The sequence below is a fragment of the Homo sapiens genome, chromosome 11 (genome assembly GCF_000001405.40).
Source record: "Homo sapiens chromosome 11, GRCh38.p14 Primary Assembly".
In the NCBI taxonomy this organism is placed as follows: domain Eukaryota; kingdom Metazoa; phylum Chordata; class Mammalia; order Primates; family Hominidae; genus Homo; species Homo sapiens.
The window spans coordinates 125,090,687-125,111,705 of record NC_000011.10 but is presented as its reverse complement, the minus strand read 5'-3'; the positions used below and the strand labels follow the sequence as shown (position 1 = coordinate 125,111,705).

At 41.8% G+C, this 21,019-nt stretch overlaps 1 protein-coding gene across 66 annotated transcripts, besides 1 other annotated feature; it reads left to right on the top strand.

The window, feature by feature from the left end:
* On the top strand, positions 80-17,317 carry TMEM218 (transmembrane protein 218). Of its 66 annotated transcripts, none has more exons than NM_001258240.2 (7): positions 80-119; positions 960-1,062; positions 1,157-1,215; positions 8,897-8,972; positions 9,389-9,574; positions 10,403-10,505; positions 13,966-17,317. In NM_001258240.2, exons 5-7 carry the CDS (start codon positions 9,465-9,467, stop codon positions 14,098-14,100), a joined length of 348 nt encoding a protein of 115 aa, NP_001245169.1. In that variant the 5' UTR covers positions 80-119; positions 960-1,062; positions 1,157-1,215; positions 8,897-8,972; positions 9,389-9,464; the 3' UTR covers positions 14,101-17,317. The 66 variants fall into 66 exon arrangements, 45 of the variants coding, with proteins under 45 accessions (NP_001245169.1, XP_047282497.1, NP_001374177.1 ...); XM_047426541.1 differs by having other exon boundaries at positions 8,897-9,069; NM_001387248.1 differs by having other exon boundaries at positions 80-121.
* Positions 296-385: an enhancer, noted in NCBI's record as "active region_5694". NCBI's record gives its function as "activates an Ori minimal core promoter by ATAC-STARR-seq in GM12878 lymphoblastoid cells {active_cell/tissue: GM12878}" and the evidence as "EXISTENCE:reporter gene assay evidence [ECO:0000049][PMID:35858748]".
* Positions 17,318-21,019: the final 3,702 nt, after the last annotated feature.

Sequence of the window (21,019 nt, the reverse complement as noted above, 5' to 3'; positions counted from 1 at the left end):
GTTGGCCGTTGAAAGAGCAACGCTGATTAGTGAATCTTAAATCACCTAAATGAAAGCCCACTTGTGATTCGCCCTAAGTAAACCAGAGCCCCGTGGGCTGGAACGCGCCGGAATCTGAGGTGTGAGTAGAGCCTGGGGGAGAGTGGATCCAGGTGAAGGGGGCAGAGGTGAGGAAAGCGGGGCGGCTGCGGGGAAGGGAGAAAAGTGGAGGGTCGGGCTGAGGTGGTTGGAAGAAGGCGTGGGCGGACGGCGGTGCACGGACCTCGCAGACCACCCTTACCGCTGATCTGGACCCAAGGCCCGGCTAATAAATACTTAATTGGAGGCAGAGAAGGAAGGACTGTTTTGTTTCATGCTCTTAAGAAAAGGAAGTGTCAGTGCCTGATTCAGATCTCTTATGACCGAGACCTTAATCCCTCTCTAGCTCCTGGGAGGTGGCCAGGTGCACATTCTGAAGACGAGACATGGGGGGCATTGTTTTCCTGTCGCCAGTTTGAATCTGCAACAGGGTTGGGGAGAAGCTTAGAGTTCAAGTGGGGTGTTCCCAGGCTGCAGTGCTGTGAGATCCAGAGAGCGGATAGACCGAGGCTCTGCAGCGCTTCCAACCCACAACACCGTCCAGGAGAGGGATGCAAGGAAGAGACCTAGGTTTACTGATCCTCCTTTTTCTATCAACGTGTTAAGAGCAGATGCTACATCGGTGGCATTTTGGGAGCTTGGCAACTGATTTTTTCCCCAGGCTTGCATTTTATCTAATTACAAAGGTAGAGGCGTTATTCTAATATTTTAAAATTCAAAAGATAGTGAAGTGTTTAAAGTAGAAACATAAAAGTGTGAAAGTAACCCCCCCCCCCCGTTATTTTTGAAGGTTTGGAAAACAGCTATAAAGCAAAGTGAAAAGGACTCTTCCAGAGGAGCACTTCACTCCTTGTAACCCACTGTTTTCTGTTGCTTTCAAGGGCTTGAGTCAGTGTGAAAATCGGGGGATGGGTGAGATATCTCCCTCCAGCAGCAGCACTTAGGCCACATTACCCTCTGAGGAATCCACATTTGTCTTAGATAGTAAGTCATCTTATAAGTCATCTTATAATGGCAGTTAGTATTCTCGCTCATGATGATCAACCTGGTGATGAGTACCGTATTTTTAATCCATTAGGTTACCTGTGCAGGGATCAGTCCATTTATTCCTATTTTCTCTGACAGCTGGATGAAAGGGTATGTAGAAACAACCATTAAATGAACACACACATCTAAAAGGTTTTGAACAAACTCTCTCAGAGAAAAACCTCACAGCATTGAGCACAGAAGGAAAACATTAGCCCTGTAGTTGCTTTTGTTGTCAGCTGCTGAACTGTTCAAATTTAAATTATTTTTTTTCACTCCAGTCTACCTGCTTTAAATGCCACAGATATTAAGTAAATGGACTTACCCTTGAAATCGGGTTGGCCAAGCCATCACTTCTCAAAGAAGGTTTAATGATGGCATGAACCCGTTTTTATATTTTATTGTATTGTACTCAATAACAATAATTTAGCTATTCTAATATGGGAAATTATCACAGATATTATTCTCACATTTAAATAAGATAAAAATGACTAGATGTTCTCTCTTCCTCTATAGCAGCACTCTATACTATACCCAGCCCTTCTTTTCTATGCTTAGTAAGAAAATGTATAGTTTGCTTATAAAATTATGAGCTCCATTCTTAAAAGAGCTTGGGAATATTTATCTTATTACTTTAAAGCCATACCATATATAAATCCAATGTCTCACGAACTCTTAAGCTACTAAGGGGGATTGAAGGGCAACATTTCTAATGGCGCCAGCCAGCTTCAACTACCATTTGCCCTCTATTCTAACTGTTAGAGTTGGTCCAAGTCTTCTGGGTTATTTGTGTAATATCCAGAATAGCACAAATTAAATTTAAATAGTTGTTTTCTTAAGAGCAGTACCATCAGCTCAGTCAACTAAGCTAGAAACTTGTGTCATTTCTAACACCTTCTCCCTTGACACAGCTAAGACTGGAGGTCAGACCCTCATCATCTCTTATCTGGAGAATTGCAATAGTTTCCTAACTGGTCACCCAATTCATATGCATCCTGCTGCCCATTACCTTTTTAAAAATTAAAAATTATCACGAAAAATTTAAAAACAGAAAATAGTACATTGGGTAGTATAATATCTATGTTCCACCAATCAGATTAATAAATATTAACATTTTGGCACACCAGCTCAAGTTTTTTATTTTAAAGAAATAAAACATCACAGATTTAGTTCAGATCCCTTTTATTTCCACTCCTAACCCCATTCCCTTTCCTTCCTCCCTCTGCAGAGGCAAATAGTCTTTTGAAATTGTCATGTATTGTTTATGCCCATGTTTTTATACTTTTGCTGTATATACGTTCGTCAGAAACAATATATATTACTGTTTAGATTGTATTTAATTTTAAAAATACAAGTAGTATCATACTGTGGGTTCCATTTTGCAACTTGTTTTTGTCACTCAACATTGTTTTTGAGATATATTCACATCAATACATATAGATCAATTTCATTCATTTTAAGTATTCATTATGAATATATAATATTGTATCTGTTCCCTGATTGATGGACATTTAGGTTTTTTCCTGATGTTTTGCTATTGTAAACAAAGCTGCAATAAACACCTTGTACATGTCTCTTTATGCAAGACTGTGTCTAGAACAGTGGTTCCCCAAGAAGATGTTGCTGCCCGTTTTAGGGTGTTTTGGAATTTGTGAAGATGTATTTTGTTATTCTTTGATTGGAGGCACTACTGGGGTTTACAGATCAGGACTGCGGATACTGGATGTTCTGTAATGTATGGGACAGTCCTCACAACGAAGAATTGTCCTGCATCCTGTGCAAATTTTGAGTATCCCACAGGATACTCATTTATAATTATCTGAGTGTAGAGCCTAACTCCGGTTTTTGTATAAACATAATGTATTTTTTGGCACAGTTTAATATAGTAAAATTTCCAGGAATGCAACTCTAATGTAAATCAGAGGAAAATTATACTTATTTGTGGTTTGGAACTTTAACAAGAGTTGTTCATCACTCTAGCAAATCACATAACTGAAGGCAGCACAGCTCGTGGTATTTGAGTTGCCAGAACAACACACCTGCATAGTCTGCATTTGAAGCTTTTGCATTCATGGTGATTCTAAGTTTAGGTGCAAGCATCTGACTACTGTACTTCATTATGTATTCTAGTGTAGTCAGCCTGAACATTTGTATATTTAAACATATGCTATTTCATTACGAATTACTTTCCATTTAAAATCAACTTCTGTATATCATATAGAGATCTAGTTTTATTCTTTTCCTATTGGAGAATCATTTGTCCCAACACTATCTATGAAGTTCTTTACCCATTGAATCATAAAGCCAACTCTGTGCTGTAGGAAGTTCTCACAAATGCATGGATCTGTTTCTGGGTTCTTGATTTTATACCACTGGGCCATGTGTCTTTGTGCCACTATCACACTGTTTTAATTACTTTGGTTTTTCAATGTGTCTTGCGGCAGTTGGTAACAAGAAAGGCAAGTTGCCATCCTAGTTCTCAAAATTGTTTTGGCTATTCTTGGGTTTTTGCTCTTCCATATGAATTTAGGATCCGTTTTCAAGTTCCACAAAAAATTGTTTTTAGACTTTGGTTAGGATTGCATTGAATTTATAGGTTAAGGAAAATTGAGATTTTTTTAATTGAACCATCCCATCCGGGAACACAGGTTATTTCTCTGTTCAGGTCTGCTTTATTTCTTTATTCAGGTCCTCTCTCTCTCTTTTTTTTTTTTTTGTCTTTGATAAAGTTTTATAATTTTAGCTATACAAATCTTACTCATCTTTTATATTCATATTTATGCAGATATATATATATATATACACACATATCCACATCTTTTTATTATGAAAGTTTAAAATATATTCAGAAATATAGAAAATAGGCTAGCAAACATCTACACACTCATCACCCAGCTTCAACAACTAGCTCATGACCAGTCTTGTTTCATGTCAGCCCCTTCACCTCCTCTCACTGAGGTAATAGAAAGCTCCTAGAAACCCTTTTCTGTTATCTGTAATGTGCTACGTGTGTATGCATATATCTTTATCATAAATAATCTTTTAACAATATAATAATATCATCTTTTTAATAGTGTTTTTTCACTGAAAATACAAACAGTAATTTCATAATATTATCAAATATCTGAATATTCTTCAGATTTCCCCAATCATTTCATAAAAGGTTTTTGCAATGCTTCGTTCGAATCAGGACCAAATAAGGGTCCATATACTACACATGGCTGATACATCTCTTAATATTCTTTCTGTAAACATTTTAGTGAAGGGTAATACACATACAGAAAAGTATATAAATCCTAAGTGCATGGTTAGATACAACATCACCGTATGAACAAACCCAGGTGAACAAAACCCAGATCAAGAAACAGAATTTTATCAGCATCTCCCTGAACCTCCTACAGTCACTATGTTTCACAAGCCAACCATACGCCTGACCTCCAGCCCCTAAAATTAGTTTGACCTGTTTTGAACATTATATAAATGGACTCATATACTATGAACTCTTTAGCCTCTAGCTTTTTTCATTTAATATTTGTGAAATTCATCCACATTGTTGAGTATAGTTGTAGTGTGTTCTTTCTCATTGCTTTATACTATTCTCATTGCTTTATACTACATAATGCTTTATATACTGTATGAATGAATAGATTGTAGAGTACTATATCCACTCTATTGGCAGATATTTGGATTGTTTAAGGTTTTAGCTATTTCAGGTAGGGCTGCAATGTCTTTTTTTTGAATTTAGGTGTGCGTTTCTGTTGGGAATACACCTAAGAATAGAAGAGCTGGATGTAGGATGCATTTATATTTAGCTTTATTAGATACTGCCAATAGTCTCCAAAGCAGTGGTTAACAAATTATGGCCCTTGCCAGCCGTATATGAGGGTTCCAGTTACTCCACATCTTTGTCAACACTTGCTGTTGTCTGTTGTTTTCATGTTAGCCATTCTGGTGGGTATATGAAGGCACTGAATTTGGTTTTAATTTGCAATTTCCGGATGACTAATGAAGTTGAGCACCTTTTTACATATTTATTCTCATTCAGGTATCCTCTTTCTCAAGTGTTTATTCTTTTTTTATCTGCTTGATCTATCAGTTTCTGAGACATATATTAAAATCTCCTGCTAAATTAGTGGTTTTATACATTTATTGTAGTACTTCTGTCAGTTTTGGCTTTATATATTTGGAGGTTTTGTTGTTAGGTTCACATTTGTTTCAGGTTGTATCTTTTTACTGAATGGTTCCTTTTGTCACTGTTCTTAATATTTTTCAGAGCTTTACATCTGTTTTGCGTGGTACTAATATTGCTTCATAGCTTATATTTTATTTTGTTTCACTTGGTTTTTTTTCAACTGTGGCTTATAAAAAAACAAAAACAAAAACAAAAAAACAGAATTTCCTGTCTTAACCATTTTTAAGAGTGCAGATCAGCAGTGTTAAGTATATTCACAGTGTTGTGAAACAGAGCTCCAAGATGCTTTCATCTTGCAAAACTGAAACTCTATACTCATTCACCATCTCCCTATTCCCTCCTTCCCTGGTTTTTGTCTTGTTAATATTTGCTTTGCATGTCTTTCTCAATCTCTTTATTTTCAGCCTCTCATTATACTTTCTGTAGAGCTTTTGTACACAGCTATTTTTAAAAAGAAAAATCTAAGAGAATTTCTTTTAGTAGTCAAATATAATGTTTCCATGTACTATGATTACTGTTGTATTTGGGTTTATTTTTACAATCTTATTTTGTATTTTCCATTTTCCTTGCGTATTCTTTGTTCTGCCACCCACCTCACACCCACTGACCCTTGCCCCACTTTCTGTTTTCTTTATTTTTTTTTCACTTTACTAGTATAGAAGCTATTTTTTCTATTTCTGTTGCTTGCTGTTTACCTGTATGTTTTTTTAACTTGTGTACTTAGCTTAAAAAACATATACCTCCTCCAAAACAAAATCACTGTAGAATGCTTTAACTTTGAACTATCCTTTTCCATCTACCATATAACTGTTGAGTAATATTTAGTCCTTTCTGATTTTTAACCCCTCAAAAATTGTCATTATTACAGAAATCTTTACTGTCAATATTTCTTAATAATTTTCTCACCATGCTTCCTGTATCTCATACCTCCTTTCTTGGTTCATTTTCCTTCTTGCTGAAGTATGTCTCTGAGTAGCCCTTTCACTGAGGATCCTTGAGAGGTGTACTACATTTCACCCTTTGTATGTCTGAAAACATCTTTGTTTTACACTTACTCTTGAGGGAGTCTTGCATGCCAGCCTGTGGGTTTAGTTTTGTCTCTGCTGGGATCCAATGGGTTCTCACTTTTAGTCTAGTTTTCATGTTAATCTTTCTATTTGGGATTCCCATATCACATCGGTAGTATTGAATCTCACACATGGATATGATGTGAGGTGGGGATTCAGATTTCTCTTGGGCTGTTGTTTTTTGACCTGTGGCCTGAAGCACTCAGCCAGCTTCCTTCCAACTAAGTCAGTAGCAAATTATTTAGACCCTATTTCAAAAACTGGTCAATCCTGTGAGGGCCCAGCTTTCTGCATTGTTCTCATTGCTAGTTCTTTGCCATCGTGGGCTTGAGACCTTATCTGCCCTGAAGAGAATCACCCTGAAGGTCTGTATCAGGCACCAGGACCCTCGTAGACTTTTAGGCTCAGCTCAGGCCTTGAGTTACATTTTTTTATAGCACTTAATGATTTTTCTTTATTGCTTTCGAGCTCTGCTGTGTACTAAATTCTTCTTGTTCTATTTTATTGAACATTTATGTGTTTGCTGTTGTATGAGGCACTTCCCTTGTTAACTTCCATCCAGCATATTGACCAGAGGTTACAGTCATCTTTCTAAAACTCCATATGATCCTTTCACTCCCTCACCTGATGTTTGTGGACTTGTTAGCACTGTGTCATTTATTCCTCCCACAGATACTTGTTGTGCATAATCTCTGTGCTAAGAACTGGGGTTACCACAGTGAGAAAGATATCAGGTCTCTGCCTTCGTGGAGTTTACTATTCTAGTTGGACAGACAGAAAATAAACTTGTAAACAAATAAATGAAAATATTAACTAGTTTTGTGAAAAATGCTCTGAAGGAAATAGAGTGATGGAGAGTCAGTGTTTGAGGGGTTACTTTAGAGAAGACACTCGGGGAAGACCTCACTGAAGAGTGACATTTAAGCAGAAATCAGAAGGCTGAGGAAAGCCAGTCCTACAAATAGTAGCAGGAGTGCTTGGGGTTGAGGGCTAGTTCCAGGCAGTGGAAACAGCAAGTACAAAGACCCAGAGATGGGGAAACCCCGGGCGTGTTAGAGTGACCGAGATGGCGCCCATGTGGCCCTAATGAGGGCAGACTGCTCCCCAGAGAAGTTAGGCATGCAGGTGGGCCCCAGGTCCCATCTCCCCTCACTCTGTCATCTTTTCACTCTGATTCTTTCCTAAATGTGCCTGTGCAGAGTATTTCCTTTGTAAAGCCCCTCTCACTATTGCAGTTCCCACTGCACTTCGCTTTTACCATTAATCAGAATGTAATATGGACACTTGTTTTCAGGACAATGTTCTCCAATAGACCTTGAGCTTCTGTCAGAAGATATCTTATTCACCTTTGGCATCCCCAGCTTGTAGCGCAGTGCTTTACATGGTGGGAACATCATAAATGTTGATTCAATAAACGTATTTTTTTTACCAGTTCATGCTTAGACCCTCCTTTCCAATAACTTTATAACTTCTCATAGCTAATATTTTCGTGGTATTTAAACCATAAGGGTAAAGAAAACCAGCAACCTAGAGGAATGTGTTTGCTTAAGACTTGTCTCCAATGCTGAAAAGGAAAACCAGGAGAGGTAGTGTGGTGTGCTGTTCCTCTGCTGTGAGTTGAATGGTGGTCCCCAAAAATATATGTCCGCATCCTCACCCCTGGAATCTGTGACCATGACCTTGTTTGACAAAAGGGTCTTTGCAGATTTAATTAAGTTAAGCATCTCAAGATAATACTAGATTATTTGTACAGACCCTAAATCCAATGACAAGTACCGTTATAAGAGACAGAAAATGTGAAGACAGACACAGGAGAATGCCATGGGAAGATGGAGGCAGAGACTGGAGTTGTGAGTTAAAAGCCAGTGAATGGTGCCTGGAGCTACCAGAAGATGGAAGAGGCAGGGAAAGATTCTCCCCTAGAGCACTGATCCCCAATCTTTTTGGTACCAGGGACTGGTTTCATGGAAGACAGTTTTTCCACAGGGGGATGCAGGGGGGTGGTTTCCGGATGAAACTGTTCCACCTCAGATCTTCAGGCATTAGATTCTCATAAGGAGCCTGCAACCTAGATGCTTCGCACGTGCAGTCCACACTAGGGTTCGTGCTCCTGTGAGAACCTAATGCCGCTGCCACTGATAGGACAGGAGGCGAAGCTCAGGTGGTAAGGCTGGCTTGCCTGCTGCTCACCTCCTCCTGTGCGGCCCAGTTCCTAAAAGGCCATGGACCAGTACCAGTCCATGGCCCAGGGGTTGGGGACCCCTGCCCTAGAGCCTTTGGAGGGAGCACAGCCCTGCTGACACCTTTATTTTGGATTGCTGGCCTGTGAGAAAATAAATTTCTATTTTGAGCTGCTAATTAGGAAACTAATAGATACCCCATCGCGCTTATATCTCACTTACCCATCCTGTAACATGGCTATAGTAATACCTTTCTCAGAAGCTTCGCTCCGGGATTCAATGAGATATGTTTGTACGGCACTTAGCACACAGTGAATGTTCAAAAATAGTGATGGCTGTTCCTCTTCTTTAAGGACTGGGAGTTTTCATCCTCTTGAATAAGAACTCGACAACAGAGTGGGAACTTTCTGTCTTGTGATCCATTGCCTGGTGAGTCACAGCTCACACCATGGATTTAACCTGAGAGCTTCAACTTCTGCTTTGGCCCTGGAGTTCCCATGCCCTGGTGTCTTCTACCAGTTCTTAGGTAGGGTTTTATATTCAGAGAGGGTTCAGCTTTCTCCCGTGGGCTGGGGGAAGAGGTCAAAGTAGAACTCAGGTACCAAATTTGAAAGGAAACACTCAGAAAAAACTTCTGAGCGCAGAGCGGAAAACACCCTCTCAGTCCCCACCAAAGAGAAAGGCTTTGGGTTCTAAATTTCCAGTTTCCATTAAGGGACTCTGGGACTGGACATTTCTGAAAATTAATGACCTGTACTGAGTAATCCTCCTAACACACTGATCATCAAAAAATAACCTGTAATGAGTTTAGGCTTTCTGTATTTGTCTGAATGCTTTCACGGGAGTGTGTTGCACTGGAGCACAGAGGACACTCGATCGTGCGGCGCGCAGGGCGGGGGGCCGCCGCTGCCTCCCCGCGGGATGGCTGGCACTGTGCTCGGAGTCGGTGCGGGCGTGTTCATCTTAGCCCTGCTCTGGGTGGCAGTGCTGCTGCTGTGTGTGCTGCTGTCCAGAGCCTCCGGGGCGGCGAGGTAAGGCATTCTGTCCAACTGGGAGTCCTAGGTAAAGCAATTAGAGGCAAAATCGCTGATGCTCACTAAACATTTAGAATTTAAGAGATCAGTTTTGTAATTACTGGCAGTTTGAATGAGTTGCATTTTAACCTCTTTTTATAAACACTAACTGTGTTATTTATGCTCTGGAGCAGAGATGGGAGGAGAAGGAAGTAGTGTTCTTGAGTTCTAACTGTGGCAAGAAACTCTGCTTTCACTGCTTATTGAGTTTCTTGAGGCTGTATGTGTATGTGTTTATGAATTGTTCAGATTTATGGCAGAGGCTTGGTCCAGTACCCGAGGCTCTAGCCCTGGACCCAGGAAAACGAAAGCAACATTTGATGAGTTGGGCCTGCTTTCTATATCAGGCATTGCCTTCAGAACAGGGTTAGGCCATAAACCGACTCTGAAAACACTAGAGTTGCACTCTGGCAAGACAGTGTTAGTATGAAGCAGAGAGTTGTAGAATTTTCTAAAGTATTCTGTTCTAAAAACAACAGAAGTGGAGGTGGAGAGGGGATGCTTTGGTTTTTCTTGATTATGACTTTGGGCAGAAGTAAAAATAAAAACTACACATTTCCATTCTTAGGAATTGGGAATTACCAAGAATAAATGGGAATGCACCCAGCTGGTACCTGTCTAGGAAGAAGGACTTTGGGATGAAGAGGTTGTTGACAGCAGGCCTCTGGACATTGTTAAGGGACTGAAACATAGAATATTGGCTCCAAGGAAGAGACTGTCCAGACCTAACTGATCAAAGAAGAAATTATAGACAGTGCTTTTAATAATTTGTCTTTTTAACCCCAGGTTCTCTGTCATTTTTTTATTCTTCGGTGCTGTGATCATCACATCAGTTCTGTTGCTTTTCCCGCGAGCTGGTGAATTCCCAGCCCCAGAAGTGGAAGTTAAGGTAAAGCTGTTGCTTTCGTTTTGCCTCCTGAGCTGTGATTCTTATTTCTCTTGGTCTGCACATCCGTCCTGCCCTTGATGTTCCCTGACATCGGGTTGCCTGAGATGTCAGAATTGTAAAGTTCAACCAATGACGGGGAAAGTTCAGAGGGAGTTTTAAGTTCCCCTGCCCCTTCACTCAGGAAAAGAATCTTACTCTGAATTCCATCTACAACCCCACCAGGCAGTTATTTGCCTGATTTGGTCTCATCTTCAGTTTGCATCAAGTTGAAAACAGCCTGTTGGAAAGCCACCTCGTACCATGGGGACAGAAAAAAAAGAAAATGAAATAGGGATAGTCACAGGCCTGCACCCGAGATGAAGTGTTCCCATTCCTGGCAGCCTGGGCTCCTAACTGCAGATCCTGGGCTGAAATTGATGTGGTGCCCTGAGGGTGCTGAGGACATGCTTCTCCAACTGCATGTGCTAGAATTTTCCCAACAGTCTTCTGGGAGTTCTTTGGTCCTCATACCTGGGACCATACCTGCCAGCACCCATGTCTTTAAATGGATTTTTATCATCTCTCTCAGAATCCTTCTCTGGAGTTCTTTACCATGGCTTTACCATGCATGGCTGGTCTCAGACCCATGGGATCTTGACAATGACATTGACCTTTTCTGTCCCATTACTCCTTCTCACAGCTTTCCTCTCAACCTTCATTTTGATGTTTTAAGTGATAGTCATGAAAATAGCTAACATTCTTTAAGGGATTTCCGTGTGCCAGGTCCTGTGCCAAACACTTTGTTTGCACTGTCTCATTTAAACCTCAGGACAGCCCTAAGTAGTATGACATAGGTACCATTATTATCCCCATTTTATAGGTAAGAACACTGAGTCTGTCAGAGGTTAAGGTAACTTGCCCAAGGTCACATAGCAAGAGGCAGAACAGGGATTCAAGCTGAGGTCCGTCTTCAAAATCTTCAGTGTTGAGAACTTAACAGAATATTCAGGGCAGTCCCAGAGAGCTCATGGGTTAGCATTTTGACACTAGACAACAACAGTACACAAGATTATATGTGTAACTTTTGAACTAAAATTGACACTGTAGGATTAACTATGGCAAGAGGAAGGAAATTAAACTCCAAGGGAAATAGTACTTTACCACACACACTTAAGGAATTATTTCCATGGACACAAGTTTGTTGTCAGTATTTGGAAAACACTCTGGAGGTGTGGGTACCACATGTGTGAGCCAGGGGCAAATTCACACCTCACTTATCTTTTTTTTTTTTTTTTTTTTTGAGACAGTCTCGCTCTGTCGGCCAGGCTGGAGTGCAGTGGCATGATCTCGGCACACTGCAACCTCCGTCTCCCGGACTCAAGCAATTCTCCTGCCTCAGCCTCCCGAGTAGCTGAGATTATAGGCATGTGCCACCACACCCAGCTAATTTTTGTATTTTTGGTAGAGATAGGGTTTCACCATGTTGGCCAGGCTGGTCTCAAACTGCTGACCTCAGGTGATCCACTCGCCTCAGCCTCCCAAAGTGCTGGGATTACAGACGTGAGCCACCGCACCCAGCTGCTTTCCTTGTCTTTTAAGGGGGAGAGTGATGTGGGCTGCCACATTTCTGGATGCTGCAGATGTAAACATCGGGAGAAGGGCACAGAGCAAACACATTTTTGAAATCAATCCCTCGATTGTCTGTCATATGAGTTTCAGACCCAGGAGACAAGAATGGGGTTTGAGCAAAATACTTTTGTCAGCATGGCCGGCAGAATTGGAGTTCTCATTTTCAGGTTTTGAGAGCGGGCCTCTGCAGCAGCCTGGCTCAATGCTGTATCAATAATACATGGCCTGGGCCTTCTGCACCCAAGGCCTGCTAATTGGCTAATTAAAAAGTGAAACGTGTCGAACGAGCAAACATGTGGCCCGCAAGAGACTTGTTCAGTACCGGAGCCAAGGTCAAAGTTATGTTAAAGCTGTTTTATCAAACTGACCTTTGTTGTAAGTTGACTGTTGGGGTAATCTCTGGAGCAGCTGAGGTGTCTTTGGACCTCAGTGATCCTACTAGGGCTCGGGTCTGAGAGATACTTTGTGTATGGCCGCTGTGTTAGTTTTCTGTTGCTGCTGTAACAAATTATGTGAACTAATGGCTCCCAACACAGATGTATTATCTTACAGTTCTGTAGGTTAGAGTCCAACATCAGTCTCACTGGGCTAAAACCAAGGGGTTGGCAGGGCAGCATTCCTTTCCAGAAGTTCTAGGGGAGAATCCATTTCCTTATCCTTTCCAGCTTCTAGAGGCTGCTCGTATTCCTTGGCTGACAGCCCCCTTCCTCCATCTTCAGAGCCAGTGACATCACACCTCACTGATGCTTCCATCCTCACCTCTCTTGCTCTGACCCTCTCTCCCACCTCCCTATTCAACTTAGAAGGATCCTGTGATTAGATTGGGTCCACCTGGATTGGATAATCCAGATTAATACCCCTTGTTTTAAGGGCAGCTGATTGGCAATCTTAATTCTCCTTTAACATATAATCTAACATATTCACAATTTCTGGGGATTAGGATGTGGATATCTTTGGGCCATTATTCTGTCTGCCACAATTGCCTTTCAGCTGTTTTGGATTCTCCTAGGTACTGGGATTTCAAAGTTTCTGTGAAGTCAGTCAGCCACTTGGTTGGTGGTGTTGCTCCATTAGGTCTATAGATTAAATTGCTTTTTCCTGCCCAAATTTAAGCACCACCATTTGGATCTGGGGAGAGTGGAGCTCTGGAAGGGGTCAGTGGACAAGTGGGTAGAGCCAACACCAATTATAGGGTTTTGTCAGCAAAGACCAACATCTTTGGGGCCTCAAGTGTAAGGCCAGGCAGCCCACTGTCTGCTTTGGGGCAAGTTACCTATCCTTTTAGTGTTTTAGTATCTCAGGTAAATGGTCATTTTCCCTGCCCCGTGGCATGGGACTCTTCCGCTGATAGCTTTAAAGAGTCACCTTTCATTTTGAAAATGAACCCTCCTGAAATGGCAATGGATTGATGATTTTGGGGGTTGGGTCTTAGATACATGGGAGTTTATTATACTATTGCATTTTTATGTATGTTTAAAATTCTCCGTAATAAAATGTATTTTAGCAACAACAAAAATGAGCCTTTCTAGGACCATGCAAAAGCTTCTCATTAACTCTTTCAGGTAACAGATTTCAGAATATAAAAGAATTCATCCAGGGACTTCAAAGTGTTTACCAACATCCTAAATTGAGCCATTTGTTCCCTGTCCCTCATTAATCCCTTCTTGTGTCTCCTGCTCAGGGAGTTGAGGAAAAGATTCTTTTTTCTCATGTACAGAGGAGACTCAGGGCAGGATGTTACTGGAAGTTATACACATGAACTAACTCTTGGCCCACTCATCATGGAGTTCAGGTTAACCCAGCCAGGGTGTCTAACTGGTAGTAATTTCATTTTGATGTTTTCTTTCTCCAGATTGTGGATGACTTTTTCATTGGCCGCTATGTCCTGCTGGCTTTCCTTAGTGCCATCTTCCTTGGAGGCCTCTTCTTGGTTTTAATCCATTATGTTCTGGAGCCGATCTATGCCAAACCACTGCACTCCTACTGACCACTCTTCAGGAAAACGAAAACCTGTTCTCTCCTTCATTGTGATGACATTGATGAGCAGGAAGGCACTATTCAGAGCCTTGTTTTGACAGCCCTCATGCCTTAAGGTTAGAGGAGTATCTGTCCATCACTAAGACAAATCTCTGGAGTCCTGGCTTCCAGAAACAGGATTGCCAAATTGTCCCTGTGGGGCTAGATTCTTACCAGCTTAAGAAGGATATTGCTATCTTCTTAGTACCCGTACCTTAGGATTTCCAACTGTTTTGAAAGGGAAATAGTAACAGTGATCTGCTTAGAGTGGATTTTCACTCAAGTCCTTAGTAAGTGGATTTTGGGGAAAAAAGCACCTGGGCTTCTGGTTCTTTTTGATAATATATAAAATTATTCATTATGAGGTTGCAGTTGTTTGCAAAGGAGAGGCACTCAAATTTGAAAGGTTATTTTAATGTGATAATTTGGAAGACTTACTCAGATGTTGGTCATTGACCACTCTGTGCATATATTTCTGCAGAGCTCTGTGAAGGCAATGAGTGTCACTTCCCTCTGCTCTAATAAAGCAATAAATAATAGCTAAAGGGCTGACTTTCACTTCGAACTCTTGGCCACGGCTTTTTAATCAAGTTCTTTAGGTTTCCTTGGGATTAGAGGAAAGGTATGGAAATATTGTTTTTTGTTTTTTGTCTTGCCATGTATCTGTAGGTTTTTTTCTTCCATGATGTGGTGGGCTGTGTGTGCCTTATTTAATTACCATGAGTCCATTTTGGGGTGTCTTCACTTTTCATCTTTGTAGCCCTTTCTCCAAAGCTAGTGAGGAAGGTATATTCTCAACATCAGATATAACTCTATACCTGTCTGATCTCCCAGACCAAATGAAATTTGCATTAAATGGAGGGGCCCTGGTCAGGTTCCACTTTGGAAGTCTGATCCTGACTCCCTAGAGCCATTTGAAAAAGAATCTTCTGGCTTAAAATTAAGAACCAAGAAAACAAGTTGGAAAGAGATCACTGATGGAGTATGTGCTCTATGCCAATAGCACACTAATTCCTTTGAGGTTTAATTTATTTAATTTTTACAACGGTCTCATTTTTATCATCCCCACTTTAAAGTAGAAAAAATGGAAGCTTAAAGAGATCAGCTGACTTGCCCAACCTTCACCTAACAGCCAGTGTGCAAACCCAGGTGTGGTAGGCCCCAGGGCTTGTCTCAGAGAGAAAACACACTAGGGTTTGTGGAACTCTGATTGAGAGCTTCAGGTAGGTTAAGGCCACACTGTTCCTTCACTTTCTCTCCTCAATTCTGTTTTCAGGGTAGAGAAGTTACCCAGTCCTGCCACCCCACAGGCAACTAAGCTCTAAATTCCAAGAAGAGAGAACAGGTAACCACTGAGAGTCATGGGCTGGTGAGGGCCAGGTATAGTTATCCCTACATTGAACCATTTCCTTTATCTTACTTAGTTTGGAAAAACTTTGCAGATAAGGCTTTGTACAGAAAACTTCAAAGGAAATAGTTTCCTAATCTGGCCTAGGGCACACAGGTAAGAAAAGAAGAAACATCCTCTAAGCAGATTGAGGGAGAGAAAAAAGAATGCATAAGTCTTGAGGGAATTGAGACAAGCTGGGGGCCTCATGCTATTGTGAGTCTCCCTGCAGCCCAAGTGGAAGCTTGGCTCCTAACAAGCACAAGCTGCCAATTGTTACCTTCTTCTGAGAGCCTTGCTAAAAAAGTAACTCTGGGAAAACTCTTATAGGTTCCTGACCATGAATCCATCTTTTTTATTCCCCCCAAAAGTTATTCAACTATTAGATCAATGGATAATAACTATGAGGTTTTGGGTGACTATTTAGATGGAGGAAAGTGTATTAAGGTTGGAAACTAAATTCTATCCTTAATACTACTGTTTTCTAATTTTTGTTTTTTTGCCTGATGTAAATGAAAGGCATATATGTTAAAGATTGGCTTTAGGAAAAAAAAAAAAATACCCTGTGCAAAGTTTATTTCAGCTTGACTTGACCTACAGTCTACAGACCTGGAGTCTATAATTACCAGCTGTGGTGAAATGAATGATAGATTTCTTTCTACCTGCATACTCAATGCAGTTATGCAAAAAAAGCCCCGCAGGGTTGGGATAAGACGTAGAAGGCTGAGAGGGCTCAAAATGGATTTCACTGAGAGTTTGGCATGGGATAACCCTATAGTCAATGTCTGTTATGGTACCCTGTATGCTCATGGCCTTCTTGGAGACAGGGCTCAGAGGTCATTCCTTAAATACAGACAGAAGTCATCTTAGTGTTCAGAACCATTCTGTGATCAGTGGCCTTAGAACATGTTCCCTCTACTGTTCCCTACCCAGAGGGGATCCTGTGGCAGACTGGTGATCCCCACTGTTTAGAAGGTGGAGAGGGAGAGTAAATCTGGGTTTCTATATAAGAAAATAGGTTATTTCGTGGCGTCTTAAAATTGTATCCTGACAAAAGCTGAATTAGGAGGATACCACCCTATCCCCACAATGGAGATCACAATGGGTAATTTGTTAAGTTCCTTAAATTTTTCACTGATAAAAATGGAAGTAAAGCTACCATTCTTTGTGTACAATGTAAATTTAATGTAAAACTGCATCAGAATTACCATACCAATGTCCAGGGACTAGGGAGTACATAGCCATTCATTCTCGAATCCTGCCATTCATTCAGCATATATTGTGTGCCCGTAGGGTGTAAAGCACTAGTCCTGGTGGAGTAAGCCCATGGAAGAACTAGGCTGTAAGGTGTCTAGACTGTCTTCCTCACTGCTTCCTGGAAGGAGGGCATCCAATTTATTTTTAAATGTTTTTATTCTAACATAAAGCAATCCATTTTTTGTTCTGTTATTTAACAGAAACTTTAGTATCAACTCTATTTCATGGTTGTTGCAGTTGAAGTGTTTCTGGTTTATTTTTTGCTCAATGTGTAAAGAAACCTGCTGTGATTATTTTACAGATGAGAAACAGGCAGAGAGGACAAGGGATTTAAAAAGTTTCACAGTTAATTAGAAGTGGGGCTCCAACTTGACATCAGGATTCCTGACATCTCATTTCTCAAATAGTTGAAAGATCACTTTTGACTTTCAAGTAACTCCTTATTTTTACATTGGTTAATACTGTTTCTTAGCTGTTTGTACCTGACATTTTCTTAACACATATCCAAAAAGGTAAAAGTTTCATTAAAGGATTCTAATGATCATTTTAGTATGAATAACAAACATTCAATCATAATTCCTTTGCTTAAACCTTTAAGTATCTGGCTGTTACATAGAAATGAATTTCCAGATGTGAGAATCAGAACTGTATGGAAACGAATCTAGAAAAGTGTTGATTATCCTCATAGAAGCATAAGAACTCAGGATTGGAAGAGATTTTATAGTTCATAAAGTTCAACCTTTAATCTCTAGTTCCATCCCAATACTTGGAAATAAGTCTAGGGTTCCACATGTCAAAATAACAATTTTTGTTACATTTAGCAAACATGTGCTAGGCATTTTTCTAAGTGTGTTGTAAGTATTATGTCTTCTTCATATCGGCCCTATGAAGTAGGTACTCTTAATATCCCCACTTCACAGATGGGGAACAGGCACGGGCTGGTAGGCGTAAACAGGAGTCAGGATCCAAAGTCAGGCAGTTTGGCTCTAGAGTCTAAGAGCCTGACTACTGTCTGTTATAGAGCGTTGCTCCATAGGATAAACTCGAAGGAAAAGGAGGGACAAGGGCAGGCAATGCAAATCCACTTGACAGAAATACCAAGGAAAAGTAGCTGAGTCTGGTGGAAAAACCAGAATCTTAGGAATTGAGCAGGAGTCTGGGGAAAAGCGTGAACAGGCACGCAGGCCTCAGAGATAGCTTCACCCATTAGCCCAGGGTTTCTGGCAGGTCTCTGCTGTTAGACTTTGGTTGTCCCCTTGCTCAGAGATACTAAACAGCTGAGCTGCTAGTAGACTATATTTTCAAGTTTTGAGAACACTGCCGCCTCTCTTGTAAGCACCATCCAGCTGGAATGTTGAGACTTGGGCCAGTTTTCAGAGGTGCCAATGGCAGAATCAAAGCCACACACCAGGAATTTTTGTTTTGTTTTCTACTTGATCTCTGTCCCTAGCAGATTATTGGTGGTGACTGTTTATGCAAAAAAAAAAAAAAAAAAAAAAAAAATTCTGAGTCCCTACCCCCCCCACCCTCTTTTCTCAGTTTCCTGCCACCAAAGAAATGAGAGCTGGGATCGAAATCAGGCTCAGTGCCACAGACAGAATGAGAAAGTGTGTTTTTAATGGTTTACATCACATCATGCCAGAGATGATATAGTCTGTGCATTTGGTCCAAGTCCTGCCCTTGGAGAACTCTTGGGTGAGGTGGTCACACAGTAGCCCTTATGCTGTGCCTAAATGCTATGAGGCCAGCCCCTTCACTTGTTTTAAGCTTTGGAGATTTCTTTTGTTTGCCTGTGGTTATTTTCCTGCCGTTAAATTGGTCATACCCCAGTTTTACACTGGGAATATTATCAATTTCCTATTACTGTTGTAACAGATTGCCATAGACTTACTGGTTTTGATCAATTCACATTTATCGCTCCGGAGGTCAGAAACCAGAAATGGGTTTCAGGGGGTAAAGGAAAGGCTTTGGAGCCTCGAGAGAACCCATTTCCTTGCCTTTTCTACCTTCTAGAGGCCGCCCCCGTCCCCCTGGCTGGTGGACCCTTCCTCAGTCTTCAAGGTCAGCAGAGCAGCATCTGCCAATCCCCAACACTCCTGCCTCCCTCTGTGATTCATCCGGAGCCCTTTGATTCCACTGGGTCCACCCCATCAGTCCTTCCATCTCAAGATCCTTAATCACATATACAAAATCTCATTTGCCATGTAAGGTAACACTCACTGGTTCTGAAAATTAGGATGTGGACATCTTATGGGGGCACATTGTACCTATCACAGAATATAGGGCCCCTTCTCCCCTAAGCATTGCCTCCTTCCACCCCCATCTGCCATCCTCCCTACCCCCACACCTTTCAGTAGGAGGTCTGCTCCTTTGTCACTTCTCAGGATTCCCAACAGCAACTCTCCCACCCCCACTCAGACACCCAGGATGTGTTGAGTTCCTCCTGCCAGCCTCAGTCTTAGTGGTGGCCTCATGGTGCTAGGACCGACCAAGAGCTTCTTTCCCTTTCTTTTCTTTGCCTCTTGCCTCCTCCTCCTCCTCCCCCAGCCACCCCACACACACTCGCCCAGCCTCCCAGTGGATTTCTAAGGGAGAAACACAAAGAGTTACTGCTTTTTAATTACAAGTGCTATTGTAGCATCTATAAGGAAGAACATTTTAAGCTTAATTGAGACCAAATGTGAAGTTAAATTAAATGAATAACTAATTAACGTAATGCTCCTACATTAGCCCCGTGTGAGTGAGTGCTGAGGCCCAGGGAGAAGGCAGGTACCAGGCCTGTGGTGAACAGGCTGCGCCCAGAGCTGCCCAAACAGGGCCAGTAACCTGGGACCTGGGAGATGGGTGCAGACAGGCAGATCTCAGTGCTGGGGTTCCCCCAACCTTCAGTATTTTTTCCAACTCCCTACCCACAGCCTAAGTCCTCATTTCTGAGGCCAGACCCTGAGCTCGCACAATGCCTTTTGCATGTGTCTAGTGCCACACTTACCTGCTGGTAGGAGCCAATGCCATTTGTTCAGTTTCAGTCTCTAAGGCCTAACATCCTAGGAGTTGGATAAGTATTCATGTTAACTTCCTCCCTCTTCCATTACCCCTCACTACCTTATCAAATGAGTCATCCAAGTCCTCAGAATTCTGCCTTCATAAGGAAGAAGGACTCTTCCCGTTGCCCCCGGAATTGCCCTTCTGCCAGCCGTGTTCCTGCATGGCTGGACTAATGAACAGCATAGCTCTCACCTGGAGTCACTGTCTCCGTGTGTTTTCCTATTTATCCCCTAACTAGACAAGTTCTTCAAGGGCAGGAGTGTGTTGAGTATGTGTCTCCCTTCATACCAATCCTATGAGGTAGATAATGTCACCATTTTCCTGATGATGAAACAGGCTTAAAGTTAGTAAGCAGTGCAGTTGGGGAAGAGAAGACCTTGAGAGAACCATTCCTCTTCCCCTGCCCTCTGAAGCAGAAAGCAAGCTGAAAGTCTGAAAAGTCAAGAGGCCTCGGCTCCTGTCTCTCTTCCAGGAAGCAGGATGGAACCACAGCCCACCCTGGGCTGTATGATGGGATTGGGTCACCATCTAGTGGCTCATATAAGCAACACAGCTTCTCCTTAAACTCCTTAATTACAAGTGCTATTGGAGCATCTCTAAGGAAGAACATTTTGAGCTTAATTGAGACCAAATGTGAAGTTAAATGAATAACTAATTTCATTTCATTCTCAATGTCAAAGAGCAGCAGAGAGCAGCTTTCCTGAATGCTGAACATAAGGCCAGAGTATAGCTCTTGCCCCTGTGGGCTGAGGACTTGGAGGTCCCTGGCTGACTCCTGCGCTCAGAGCTGAAGTGACTGCAGGCAGGAGGAGCCTTCCTTGTTTGTTGCCATTGGCGCTGTGCAGCCTGCTTCAGTGTGGAAGGGTGTGTATCTGGCTAATGCACCAGCCCACAACGTCCCAGGAAATGCAAGGCTTTTATCTTGCGTGGCGCTCTAAGCTCCCCATTTGCCCACACATCATCAATATCATGAGCATCCCCTTCAGGAGTGCCCACTGTCATGAGCTTTAACCTACCCACTTGGTGGTCCTGGTGTGTCCGGAATTGGTGGGTTCTTGGTCTCACTGACTTCAAGAATGAGGCCGCGGACCCTCGCAGTGAGTGTTACAGCTCTTAAGGTGGCACGTCTGGAGTTTGTTCCTTCTGATGTTCAGATGTGTTCGGAGTTTCTTCCTTCTAGTGGGTTCGTGGTCTCGCTGGC